This window comes from Homo sapiens, chromosome 7 (assembly GCF_000001405.40).
Source record: "Homo sapiens chromosome 7, GRCh38.p14 Primary Assembly".
In the NCBI taxonomy this organism is placed as follows: domain Eukaryota; kingdom Metazoa; phylum Chordata; class Mammalia; order Primates; family Hominidae; genus Homo; species Homo sapiens.
The window spans coordinates 50553750-50568301 of NC_000007.14; the positions used below are offsets into that span (position 1 = coordinate 50553750).

Consider the following 14552-nt stretch of genomic DNA (forward strand, 5'->3'; position numbering starts at 1 on the left):
GCTGGGATTACAGGTGTGAACCACCGTACCCAGCCTGACTTGTTTCTTGATGGACATTTTCTCTGTGGGTTCAAAGACCATAAAAATATTCAGTAGGAGAAATGCTTCCAAGCAAGACCATAAAGAAGTTTCTAGCCATGAGAGCTTTTTAATCACAGGAGAATGGCTATCTGATAAACTTGCCTCAAAAAAACATCCTCTAAGTTCTTTCTTTAACCCTTAAGACTCTGGTTACACAACAGGCCACTAAGAAGCTTTACGTGAGCATTTTTGTCAGTGGCCAGGAGGTACGTGAATAATCTAAATCCGCTCACAAGTGGCCTCCAGCTACACCACCAAGTGTCAGGCAGACCTGAGGTCAAGAGTCACTGCTTTCAGTTACTCTGTTACCTTTAACCTCCACCCCTTTCTGAGGCTCCTTCTCAGCCTCTGTGAAAGCAAGAATGCATGCAAATACCTCCCTCCAGTGCTGCTGGGAAGATGAATGAGATGATGGGGTGAGAGCCTGCTGCAGAGTCAGTGTTCAGTAAAATGTTTTCATTAATAATAGGGCAACTGTGGGGGGCAGGGGGAGAGGGGAAATATGAGGACTCTCTACTTTCTGTCCAATTTTCCTTTATACCTGAAACTGCCGTGAAAGTCTATTAATTTTCTTTAAGTAAAAAATAAAATTATTAACTGGGCAGAAGTGGCCTCATTTTGAGGCTTTTGAGGCCGGCTTCCTCAGCTCCTTCCTTCCTCCCTTTCTAGGACACATTATCTTCACTTGTATTTCTCTTCCACAGCTCTCAAACTCATCTGTTTACAAACTGGAAATCCACTGTTTTGCAACTGCTGGGTTTTTTTAGCTTACAAGACTTAGGTAGCGCTGACAGATTTGTCAGATTCTTTGATGAGATAACAGTCAGGGACTAGAGCCAGAGTTAGTGCTCAGGCCTACTTTCCATACAACTGCTCTTCTCAGAGACTGTGGTCCTCAAAGCCAATTATTCTACATGATTGACCCCAGGTTCCCGCAGCATTCTTCAGAAAGTCATGAAGATTCTGTGTCACTGAGGCCCTTAGCACATGAGTTTTCTCAACTACAGAGAGAGAAACATCACAGACTTCCTCACATGGGTAAAAAGCAACATAAAGTGTTCTGGGAGGCAGCATGGCACTGCGGGGGAGAAGGGTGGACTCTGGATCCAGAGAACTCGGCTTGCGTCTTATCTCCAAGGCTTATTAGCTGGGTGACCTTAGGTAACCGAGGAAGCTCAGGTAACCTCTATGGCCAATATGATGCACTCCCATCCCTCGGATGGAGAGATGGGAGAGACTGTGCTCCTGGAACCAGGATCCAGGCTGTCCGTGCAAAGCTGCCACCAGGTCAGGCTTGCCGGGTCAGCAGGCATGGAGGAGGAGGCTGAGCCAGTGTCACGGGGATGGTGGTACCTCTGCCTTCGAGCCTCCCACTAAACCTCCCATTGGCAGAACCCTACCACAATCCGGGTGTCCTGGGTTCCTGAGAAGCATGGCTTGTGTGGTTTGGAGTCAGTGGGGGAGACAAGAGATCTGTTGGAAACGAGACCCAGGACAGGCTGACATCTTAGCTCCTTTAATGCTTTATTGGTGAGAGCTATTACTATGCTCATTTTAAAAGGGAGGGACCTGGGACCCAGAGAAGGAAAGGACTGTCCCAGGTGTGAAGCTGGTTGCAGCAAAGCCAAGGCAGAACCCCTGTTTCCTTCATCCTGTAGGCCAAAGTGTCTCTACTTATAATTGACACAATAAAGCCAGGGCACCACACACACACATACGCACACACACTTGCGACTGTCTTACACTTGTACCACTATTTTTATGTAAACCCGGGTGTTCTTGTTTAAATAGGCACTCTCTCATTGGTCTAAAAAATAGTTAACATTGATATGAACTTACATGTGCCAAGAACCACGTTAAGCTCTTTGCCTGGTTCTCGTATTTAATCTTCATAAGAACCTTGTCAGGACTACTATTACTCCCTTTAACAGATGAGAAGACCGAGGCGCAGAGAGGCTGCACAACTGAACCAAGACTCCACACCTGCTGTAGTCAGATGAGGCCACAGTTGAATTCCTGCAGTCTGGCTCCTGAAGGCACCTGAGAGAATGTCCTGGACTCAAACACAGGTACAGAGCATCTCTAACAGCTGTAGCCAGATGCATATCAGTTGATGAAAAGAGCATGGCTTAAGTAACTTCAGGATTAGAAACTTGTAATACCAGTTTCTCCTAGGGCTGCAAGGAATGATTTCCCGAATGCCTACTGAGGACCACAGGGGCACCGCAGCTTCCACGGTGCCTTGTTTGCTTATAGATCATGTTCGTTACAAATGGTAACCAGAAAGAGAAAGGGTTTGGGCAGCTCTTGGCTGGAGGTGAGACCGTGGCCAAGCCCCCTATCTTAGTCCCTTTGGGCTACTATAAAAAGTACTATAGACTGGGCAGCTTATAAACAACAGACAATGATTTCTTAGAGTTCTGAGGCTGGAAGTCCAAGATTAAGGCCCCGGCAGATTTGGTATCTGGTGAGGCTTGTTTCTCATAGACATAGCCTTCTCTCTATGTCCTCACATGGTGAAAGGGGTGATGGGTCTCTCTAGGGTCTCTTTTATAAGGTTACTCATTCCATTCATGAGGGCTCTGACTTCATGACCTAATCATCTCTCAAAGTTCCTATTTCCTAATACATTGCAGGCAAGGATTTCAACATAGGAATGTTGGGAGAAACACACACGTCCACTCCATTGCAGCTCCACTTGCAATCTGTACCATGGCCATCATCCTAGGCACCACACAAAACCATGAAGAGAGTACAAGATAATTACAAAGTAGATGCTCGAAGCATAGCATTTCACTCTCCACACCTGTGCAAATTCAGGAGGAATCAAATCCATCATCTCAAGGGAGTTTCTGTCCAGAAAGGAACTCCTGTAAGGGACTTTGCACTGGGTCCTAAGTCCCACTCCGCCCAGCTGGCCTCCTTGGCGAGATTGGTCTGCGTTGGAAAATGGAACTGCCACAATCAAGTGGAGCTAAGCTTTCAGCACTACAATTCCACAGGACAGTCCTCCTCCTCCTCCTCCTCATGAAGAATAGAAAGAATGGTGGATTTGCATTCAGAGAAAACAGCTTGAGCCCATAGCTCTGCGGCAAGAGGCATGCAGCTGCTGGCTGACGTCTTGGAGTCTCTGAGTCTGTTTCTTTACTTATAAAATGGGGCCGCAAGCTCATGCAGGCAGAGAGCACTTTGGACTGTAAACCTGTGTCTAGCAATTATTATTATTGATGCTACAAAAGACAGGCAGAAGCCTCTTCTCCTGAGGTAGCATAAGAGAAAAGGGAGAAATTTTCTACAACAAACAAAGATCAAAATTCAGGGGAAAGCCTTGCTCCTCTGCTGACATGAAGGAGGAAGGAGCTTTGTGCAGCTGTTTCTTATTCATTCCCTGTTTAATAAACAATGCTCTGTCAAAGTAGATTCTTGGCCAACAATTATCCGTGGAAAGGAGCCATAGAGAAGTTTGTCTTGGTTTTCAGTTTTCCTCCCATGGAAAGATGCTACTTCCACTCATATCTCTGTAACCATGCTGTGACCTTAGTTAATGCTGGCTGGAAAAATTCATAACTTGAGCAACTTCCAAAGACAAAAAAGAATGCCAAGGACATGAAACTGATTGATATTATTCCATTTTAGTCCTGACCGTAGACAATTCAAATAGTTGGAATGAGGATGTGTGTATGACTGGGGATCCTTTTTTCACTTGACATTTTTCCTTTATGCCTAATTACAAGGTGCAGAATTTCCTTAACATAACGCTCCTATTTGCACTTATTAAGGGCTGCTGAGTGGGGATTTCACCGTGTTCCTATGACACCATCCATCCCCACTTTGCCTGTTAGCTGTTTGCTGTTATGGGCAGCACCGTCATGAGTAGATGCCACCCCACCATCACCATATAGGTCGCACCTATTGGGTCTGTCTCTCAAAGATATTAATTCCCCAGTGGAATTGAGACATGTGAGTTGTACAGTTCTTTTTGCGTGTTGTCAATTTCTTTTTGAAAAACTGGAATGATACAGAAATGTCACCCACCATCAGGCATTGAGCATAGACACTCCATCTCTGTAAGCTTTGCTCCTTCATTCACATTTTAACTTTAAACCTTAAAACATTCAAATTTTATTATTTTCATTCATGGTTGCTAATTTTGAAAGTTTATATGATAACTACTAGGTAATTTTAACTTTTCTCCTTTGTTTTCATTTTATTGAAGAGTTATGTCAGAAGAAACTTTTCAGAAATCACCCCCCCCCTTACAAATTTTTTCCCTTATTTTTTCTCAATTCTTTCCCCCTTTCTCTTGCAGTCACATTAATAGTTCACAAGAGATCATAACCATCTGCCTTTGCTATTGGCTTGAGACAATTCGAATTATGTTCTAGTTGGTTGCTTCTTTTCATCATAGTCATAATATCCAGTGCCCATGACATGTCCTGGTTTACCGTCTATTACAAACACAGGACACCTGCACTGTGAATCTATTTAGTATGCTTTGGTACACTCTTTGGGGAGTCCTTATGAGCCAATTTGGTGGTAAATATTGACTTCTACATTCACAGTGAATGCTTCCCTATTCCTCATATTGAACAGCTGCTGGCCTGGGGCCTGGTGTTGCTAAGAAGCCTGCACTTGAGGTGCCCCCCTCCAAGAAAAAATCCTGAGAATCTGTTGAACTTTGGTTGCCACATCCTATTGTCCAAGAAACCAAACAAATCAGCAGTGCTCAAGCTCCTGATAAGCTCGTGGTATACATTATCTCACTGAACACGCTCACAACACTGCCAGGCCAGTAGAGTTATTGCTGTTTAACTTGACCACAGCCACACAGCCAGTAAGTGAAGGAGTGGGTGCTGGTGTTCTGAAGCCAGCATTTTCCTAACACACCTTTGGCCTGGGAATCCACTTACACCTCCACTGTCAGCTGCCTGTGTCCTCACCATGGCCAGAGATGAGACCACAGGACTCTAAACAGGGCTCTCACTGGGGATGGGGAAGGTGGTGCCTGCAACCCAGAGTGTGGTCCAGGGCTCCTGCCTGGTTCACTGCACATGAGAGAACAGGGGAATGTGGCTTCGGGTGGGAGTGCTGAGCCCGCAGACACACGTCTGCCTCCACCCACCTGGGCTGATCCCAACAGAAACAGGCAGAGGCTCAACAAACTCTGCTGCCCTCCATGCCCCAAGAGAAGTGCCTCTCCTCTACCTCCTCCAAAGCAGAAGAAATGTTGAATAGTTGCCATATACAGGGCAGCAGTGTAAGCCCTTTACCTATATCCTCCTAAACTTCACATCAGCTCTGCAAAGTAGCAGCCTGATCCCCTTTACAGCAATGCGAAGAGGCTGAGGGAAGCATGCAGCAGGCACGGAGCTCCTCTCAGCCCGCACAGCTCAGAAATGGCTTTCACACTTGCCTCTGTACAAACCAGAAGACCAGGACCCTCTGCTGTCTCTCAACACAGTGGGATTCTAACCTTTTCTACGAGGTCCTGTGCCCATCGCTGTCCCATATGCCCACGAGGTGCCTCTGGGCTCCCTGAATGTCTTCCTCCAGAAATGCCAACAAGCACCAGATAAACACAAAACATCAGAACATTTCTTTTTTTTTTTTTTTTGGAGACAGAGTCTCGCTCTGTTGCCCAGGCTGCAGTGCAATGGCATGATCTCAGCTCACTGCAACCTCCGCCTCCCGGGTTCAAGCAATTCTCCTGCTTCAGCCCCCTGAGTAACTGGGACTATAGGCACGCACAACCACGCCTGTCTAATTTTTGTATTTTTAGTAGAGATACGGTTCCACCATGTTGGCCAGGCTGGTCTTGAACTCCCGACCTCAGGTGATCCACTCGCCTCAGCCTCCCAAAGTGTTGGGATTACAGGCGTGAGCCACTGCGCCCAGCCGCAGAACACTTCTTTTAAAATACCCGCATAGTGTGGTTTTCCTAGAGCCGTTCCCTAAACTTAACTGCTGACTCAAGTTGAGTGTCTGAAAGTAAAACCTTCAGAATAATCAACATCTTGAAGAGCAGAAAACAAAAGTAATTAGATCCCCCAGGCTATCTCTTTGAATTTGTGGCAAGGGGAGTTAAGGGGGATTTATTTTAATTATTTTCTTCACACTGGCTGTGTGTAGACGCCCACCTAGCGTGTGCCCAGAAGACAGGAAGAAAAGAAACTGCTGAGAATGGCTTGATTTTGTTTCCTTCAGAACCATCCAGACACCCCTTAACTTGCTCTGTGGTCAGCCATCCAGGATGCCTGTGTTCTAGTCTGGGGTCACCGCACGCTGCCAGCAGGACTCCGGTGCCCCCAGCAAAAGGAGTGTTTTTCTCTGGCACCCTTGACAAACCAACAGAGGACCAGCTTTTGTGCAGTGATTGTCACCTTTTGGAGGGGAAACTCTGCTTATCTGAATGAGAAATTTTCGCAAGGAGCCTCGCCCTTGGAGTCTTCAAGAGAGAAACAAGCTTGTGGGAAGAACCCATGTCACCTGCCTGAATTTCGCTTGGAAACTGAAGAAAACAGGCTGTGGAGGGCGCAGCAGACCACTCAGCAGCATTTTCAGTGACCTCACACTTTCCTCCCTTATTCACAATAGAGCTCTCATTTATTGAGCACCTATTGTGTGCCCGCCCCTTTATAAAATCAAACCTGGTTTTTACTATGATCTGGGGGAGGATGCTGTTAATTAGCTCCTCTCCTTCACGTCTGAGGAAGGAAAGGCGGCCAGGGAGGTGTGCATCTGAATGCAAACCTGAGTCTGTGGGGCTGCATAGCCTCCTTCTTTCCCACCCATCGTGTGGCCTCCACGGTCTCTACATGCACATGAGCCAGTCTGGAAAATAATTTCCACTCACTTAGTTATGTTGCTGTCATGGCTCTAGGAATGTGGCCTAAAAAGCAATCCAAAGTTTCAGATTCTCTGCCTGACCTGTTGCTTGCAGATAGCACAAAAAAGCAAGCCGACCTAGGTTGGTGCCTATTTTCTTGAAAAGTTCCTGTAAACCCTGTGTCACCTGCACACACTGAATGCTCAGCTGTCCCTGTCAGCCGAACCTCCTTCCTCCTGCAGGAGGAGAATTCAGCACAGCTAGAATCAACCGGCAAACCTCCCACCCCAAACCCCAGGGTCACGGCCATCCAGAGAGCTGGACGCGTGAGCCATGAGGACAAAGAGCAGTACTCACAGGCAGCCGGGAGTGACTTGCTCTCTGTCCTCTCTCTCTCCTCTCCACAGTGACAGTTAAGAGGCACAGAAGATGTGATTGCCATTTATGTAGACAGAGTGTCTGCCTCCCCGAAGCCAATCAGAGCTGCCGGCTCTGCATTATTTACTGAGCAGCATCCCTCCACCCTCCCACCACCTCCTGCCCCCACTCTGCCCCCAGGGGGAGAGAGCCATCCTAGCAGGATGGAGAGGAGCATCAGGGCCTGCTGGGACTGGCGAGAGGCCAAGGAAAAAATGGGCCCTGTGTTCCCAGGCACTGTGTAGGATGCAGATTTGGGGCCAGGGCTCCTGGGACTCTCCCAGCAACTTTGAGAACGACCAGGCTCCACTCCAAGGGTGAGGAAGGGACGGCGTGGCATTTGGGGAGTGCTCACTCTGGGTCTGCTCCTTCTGTGAGGGACTATTAGGACCCTGTGATACCCGGGAGGCTCAGGGTCCCAAGCCCACTTCCCCAGATGAGAAAGTGAAGTGAGATGTAGATTAGGTGTTGAGCCGCATGCATCTCAAACTCCTGTGCTGTTACCCTTAAGCCTATCAGCATCTAAAACATGGTTTGGGCTCAGTCTCTCCTCCCACCATGGGGCAGCAACAGGGAGGATCATCTTCCCCACCTCCACCCCCTCCCCCCACTCCTGGTTGATGGGTGCAATAGAAGGAGCAGGACTCCGTTTCTCCTGAAGGTGCACGCAGAGTCATGTGAAGCTAGGAAAGGGGCCTGGGCTTTGCAGAGGAGGAAGAGTGGAGAACAGGGTCCACTCAGATGACGAGCAGCCTGCAGGTGCCCCTGCCCCGACCACACACACATGCACACACACCATGCACACTTATGCATGCACACACATACACAAGCATACATGCATGCATGTTTATACACACTACACACGTACAATAGCACATGCATATATGCATGCATACCACACACACATGCACACACACACATACCTAAGTGCATGCATACACACACATACACATACCACATCCAGGGCTTGTGGCACAGTCCAGAGCTAGAAATGCCCCAAGGAGAGCCATCCATCCTCTGACTTTAAGCAGCATCTTTTCAAGGAAGAAGCTACCCCTCTAGAGCAGAGATCCCCATGGAACTGGGACAGAGGCAGCGGCCTTCCAGGCAGCAGAACATGCCATGAGTGCAGGGGCTGCAGGGCGGGGACCTGGCAGGTGGTACAAGTGAGGGGATCCTGGTCTCAGCCTGTGCATAAGCAGCTCCCTCCAGCAGCCGTGCAGGGACCTGCAGGCAGCAGCCATGTGGACAATGGAGGCAGTAAGGAGATTAGGCCCCATCTGCACAGAGGGCAAGATGGGAGCTGCCCAAGCGTCACCATCCAGGGGGAGCCAGAAGCCAGCAGCAAGGTGGCTCATCCCCCCAAACACTGTGAGTTCAGCCATGACCACAGAGGAGAGGCAGGCCCCAGCCGTGAGCATTGGAGGTCTGTGGGAGGGGACAGTGTCAAGCTGGACAGCCAGGCACTTCTTGAGCTGAAACTCCTCTGTCCTGAGGAACACAGACTCCCACTTTCTTGCCCCTGGCAATGCACCCATGAGAAAGAGCCCTGGTCAGGGAGGACTGGCCAGGAGCTTGGGGGCTGCAGTGGGTGACTGAGCACAGGGCTCCTACAGGGCGGAGCTGGGGCTGCACTGCTCCCTGGATGTGTGCCCTTCACCCTGCACACGGCTTGGGCTACACACCAGGGGGACACAGGTATGAGGAGGTGCTGATATTTTATTATCATTTATGTATAAATAGTATTTAATCTCTATTTTGTTTTTCTTTGATACATGAGTTATTCAGTAGCTATTAAAAAAATGTCCAGACTGCCGGGCCCAGTGGCTCATGCCTGTAATCCCAGCCTTTGGGAGGCCAAGGTGGGCACATCACCTGAGGTCAGGAGTTCGAGACCACCCTGGCCAGCATGATGAAATCCCACCTCTACTAAAAATACAAAAATGAGCTGGGCACAGTGGCAGGCACTTGTAATTCCAGCTACTCAGGAGGCTGAGGCAGGAGAACTGCTTGAACTTGAGAGGTGGAAGTTGCAGCGAGCTGAGACTGTGCCACTGCACTCCAGCCTGGGTGGCAGGGTGAGACTCCATCTCAAAAAAAAAAAAAAAAAAGTCCAGACATACATAGCAATATTTGCTTATTTTTTAATTGAATTCTAATTTAATTAATTGGATTGAATTGCAGTCAGAGAACATGTTGGTGTGAGAGCAGTTCTCTGATAGATGTTGACATTTGCATAATGCCACTTAAGACACTTAAGAAAGTGTATTTTCTAATTTTTAGGTATTTGATTCCATATATGTCCAATAAAGCAAGATGATTACTTTTGTCTTTGAAATTTTCTAAATGTTTACTAATGTTTTGTTTGCTAAATCTATCATCCAGTTTACTATAATTGGTAAAGATGGTGGATTTGTTGATTTCTCTCCATAGTTGAACCAAGATTTTCTTTATATATTTAAGGCTCTATGTATCTTTAAAACTGCAACATATTCTTGGCAGAGTAAAACTTTCATAATTTTATTTTATTATTATTATTATTTCTTGAGACAGAGTCTCACTCTGTCACCCAGGCTGAAGTGCAGTGACTCGATCTCGGCTCACCGCAACCTCCGCCTCCCACGCTCAAGTGATTATCCTGCCTCAGCCTCGTAAGTAGCTGGGACTACAGGTGCATGCCACCACACCTGGCTAATTTTTGTATTTTTATTGGAAATGAGGTCTCACCATGTTGCCCAGGCTGGTCTCAAACTCCTGAGCACAAGTGATCTGCCCGCCTTAGCCTCCCCAAATGCTGGGATTACAGGCGTGAGCCACAGCACCCAGCCCTCATTTTATATAATAATTTATTTATTTATTGAGTTGATTACTCAATTGACCTTGTTAAAATGTGAAAACTCCGCTCTTCTTCCACATCTTACCTGCATTCAATATTCCTGAGACTCTCCCCTTTCCTGGAGACCAGGGTGGCGTGAAGCTCAGGGGTGGCACTGTAGGCAGATGGCTGTGTCTCTTCAAACTTATTTAGTAATTTTTAAGAGTCTGAAAATTATGATTTAAATATTAAGCAGCACCAACATGTCCCTGGTTTCAAAAATGTCACATATCCACTTTGCCAGGACTTCCAGGGTAGAGTTCTATAGGGTCATCTTCATCCTACACCGCATCCAGATAAGCACAGGGAGCAAGGCTGAATGCTGGAGGGACTTACCCCAGCCATGGGAGCAGCGCTTGTCGCCCTGGACCTACACACTGGATTGCTTGGCTGCCCGACAGCACCAAGTGCAAACGGGCTACATTCACATTTCGTCTCTGCCAGCTGCAAGATCTTATGCCATCCTCCTCCCCTCCTCTGGCTGTTTGCTCACTTGTGAAATGGGGATGTGACTGGAGGTGAAGAAGGCAAACCTTCTAGACAGAGCCCAATGTAAACTGACCACTCAGAAGTAATGGTTTTAACTCACGCATGATGGAGAGCAATGATTTCCATCGATTAAGCTTTGATTCTTATATACTTCCGACAACAGACTTAAAACCAGGAGAACTTCGACTCCTTGAAGTCGATAACCGAACAATTCTCCCAATAGAAATTCCTATCCGCATATGTTTTCAGATGGGAATTGTACTCAGCATGGCAAGTTGGTGGGAAAGATCTTCTAATTCTCCTCAAATCACACTGCATAGGTAGACACCAAATTGACCTCTAAGTAAACTATAACATACACCAAAAGGAGAGAGCCCTGACGGAGCCTCAGATGTTATAAAGGGAAGGGCAGAGTTCACATTTACTAATCACCTCCATAAAATCATGGGATTTAATCCTCACAAGGTAGATACTAAGAAAATCCTCATTTACAGAAGAAACAGAGGCTGGGGGAATAAAATACCCAACACCATCCCTGGTGGTGCATGGAAAAAATAGAATCACATCTGGCCCGCATTTGCTACTGAGCCAGTCATGAAATCATTCCCAGCACCTATCAAACATGTGTCACTGGAGTGACTGTGTGTGCATGGAGAGCCACCAAGTGCACAGCCCCCACTGAACAAAAACCCCTGCCAGCCTGCAGCAGAAGAGAAAGCACCACACAAGCTCCCTCAAGTGAGTTAACCTTTAAGCAAATGTTCAGTAACATGGGGCCAGAGAGTCAAGGTACATGTTGCTGTTTTCCACTACTACAATCTGAGTAGGTATAAAATCAGAGACTTACATGCTGGAAATTCGAATTCCTTACAGGGCTACTCTCCTTGATGGGATTCTCCAACTTTGGGGACTGAAGAGCATGTGGAGAAGCTGCTGAGGCACTCGGCACTGAGACAGTCACTCTTCTTGAAACTCCAAGCCACACGTTTCCCTCTTCTTGCATTTCCAGCCACATGTGCCAGTTAAACATTAATTCCTGATGGTGACAAAGGTCAAGGAAATCTTGAGAAATAGCTCGCCTCTGGGAATCCTGAGAGCACATTCTGAAGAGACTGTTTCATTCCAAATCCTGGAAGCTTGGATCTTTCTTATGTAATTCTACATACATCCCATCTTTTACTAAGCAGCCCTGATTTCAAGTTTGGAGCCCATTAAGTCATCTGATATGTTCCAGCCCTGCACCAGGTGATGCCTGCATTGCACACAGCCTCCTGCCCCTGAAGGCAGCCCCAAAGTAAGCCTGCACTTCCCGGTGCAGCACTCAGCAATATGGGTAAGATTTCCAGGTTCAGATATCAGCAGAACCCAGGAACTCACCTTCCTTCCCCAAACCCATCAAAATCATAGTTGAGATGCATGAAACAATACTCTGAGTGGAATTTGGACAAATTTATAAAAAAACCCCAAAGTCGATAGAATTTTATGAGAGCACAAAGCAGGGCTGAGAAAGCCACATTGAGAAGTTGAGCAGGCACAGCCTGCAGGGATCTTAGGAGCTGGTCTTTCTGGCAGACCCCCAGCAGCTCCAAGCGTGGGGCTCAGTGGGTGTGAAGAGCAGAGTGAGAGTGAGGCTGGCTGCGGGCAGCTCATTAAAGGACTGGAAACAAGGCAGAGAGGGCTGTCACTAGAGCCATTTGTCACAGGCTAGATGCAGGGAAGAGCTCTCCTTGCTCTATCCTAGGGGACTGGAGCAGGCTGGGGCGGGGCACCTAGGGTTCCTATTGTTAGGACTGGAACTGGAGAGAGAAGCAGAGTGACATTGAGGAGTCTCAAAACCTCCACAGGAGCCATTGGAGGAAAGAGGGAAAAGAGAAAGAATGGCAAGTGAGCCCTCCAATGACGCACACCCAAATGCTCCCGCCTGGGGTCTCACAGGAGCTGAGAACCGAAGAAGTGATTGTCCTTGGTAAGGGGAAGAGTGAGGGAAGGGCTCCAAAGAGGGAACAGCCTCTGCAAAGTTACTGAGGATCAAGCTCGGCATCTCCCAGGCCCTGACAGAAGGCCAACTCCTAAGGACCATTCAAAGTAGGGGAGGGGGAGTCTTGCAAGCCACGTTACGTAATTTGTATCCCCCCAACTGTAATAGAAGGCATTGAAGTGTTTCTAGAAAGCAGTAACCTTAGCTTACTTATGGTTTAAGATCACTCTGGCTCTGGGGTAGAAAATGGATCAGAGGGAGATAAGGGTGAAAGGGTTAGACCCTTTAAGTTGGACCACCAATTCCCACCACATTCCTTGGATTTCTGCACTTTCCTGCAAACCAGGAGTGAATTCAAGTGAATCCATTCTAGGAGATGGGCTGGGGGAGGGAGGGGGGGCTTGAGATGAAGAAGCGTGCTAATATTCCCCATAAGTGCGTGTGTGTGTGTGCATGTTAGGAGGTTGCTGGACAAGGGGAGGAGTCAAGGGGATGGAACGACTACCCAGTGATGAAGCCAGTGGGCAGGGGATGACGGTCATAGACTGAGAGGAAGAAGACTGGGGTGGACCAGTATTGGGTGTGGGGAGGTGAAGGACACCAAGGATTCAGTTTGGGAATTAAATTTCAGATATCCACAAATCGTGTGATTTGAGATGTCCAGTACAGCTCAGAAAAAGAGGCCCAGACAGGAAATAAAGTTATGGGTTGAAAGTGTTTAGATGATATTTGAAGCAATAGGACTGGAAAAAAAACATCCATAGAGAAGAGAGACCTCAGTTTTGAAATCCTCAAAAAAGTGAACTAGTAGTGTCCAACTACTGAGCAACAGTTATCTCTCAATAGAGAAATCTACATAGGAATCAGCATCCGTTCCCAGAAGGGACTCTTTTTACATTTCCTTTCTTCTTGCAGGTGTGGGATTTATGGGGAATAGGGGTGAGGCTTCGAGGACCAAAGAAAGAAATCTAGGGCAGGATTTCCCAACCATGGCACTTTATCAGTCAGGTTTCTCCAGAAAACTGGAAATAATAGGATATGGATATAGGAATATAAGAAGAGATTTATTGTAGAAATTGGCTCATGTGATTATGGAGGCTGGGAAGTCCCACAGTCTTCCATCTACAGGCCGGAGAACTAGATAAGCTGGTGGTGTAATTCATCCTGAGTTTGAAGGCCCAAGAGCAGGAGAAGATGGATATCCCAGCTCAAGAAGAGAAAGAATTTGCCCTTCATCCACCTTTTTGTTCTATTCTGGCACTCAACAAACTGGATGTTACCAGCCCACACTGGTGAGGATGGATCTTGTTTACTTTCTGGAGATTCCAATGCCAATCTCTTCCAGAAACACCCTCATGAACACAACCAGAAATCCTGCTTTACTGGCCCTCTGGGCATCTCTTAGCCCACTTCAGTCGACACATAACATTAACCATCCCAGCACTATTACATTAAGGGTGTATAATTCTCTGTGATGGGAGCTGTCCTGTGCATTATAGAATGTTTAGCAGCATCCGGCTTTTACTCATTAGGTGCCAGTAGTCCCCAGTTGTGACAACCAAGAATGTCTCCAGGCATTGCATGTTTCCTGGTGGCAAAATTGCCCCTGGTTGAGAAAGGCTGATCTCGTGTGACCTTGTAATGCCCCAGGGCAGGGGAAGGTAGCATGGGTTGCAGCCAAGGCTGTTCCTGGAAGAGGGTGAGTCTGCTCTTCCACAGGAGCAGCAACGGCCATCTCTCATGATGCCAGAGTGGCCTGCAGTCAGTCGCAACAGTGTGCATGTTGCAGGAGGGAGACTGCAGGTGCAGACGTGACTGTGAAAGAGATTCACAGTGCACCTGAGTGTGGCTCCTGGGAGCAGAAGAGACGGGGCTTCCTGCTGAGA

At 47.5% G+C, this 14552-nt stretch overlaps 1 protein-coding gene across 10 annotated transcripts in view; it reads right to left on the reverse strand.

Moving 5' to 3' along the window:
• The window catches only part of DDC (dopa decarboxylase), a 106964-nt gene extending 95308 nt beyond the window's left edge, over window positions 1-11656 (reverse strand). For 6 of the 10 annotated variants that reach the window (NM_001242888.2, NM_001242886.2, NM_001242889.2 and 3 more), the window contains exon 1: window positions 7265-7322. The gene's annotated coding sequence lies outside the window, so the exon portion shown is untranslated. Of the gene's footprint in view, window positions 1-7264; window positions 7323-11535 lie in introns of those variants that run through there. The other 4 variants (XM_005271745.5, NM_001082971.2, XM_047419932.1 and 1 more) reach the window with 1 other exon arrangement.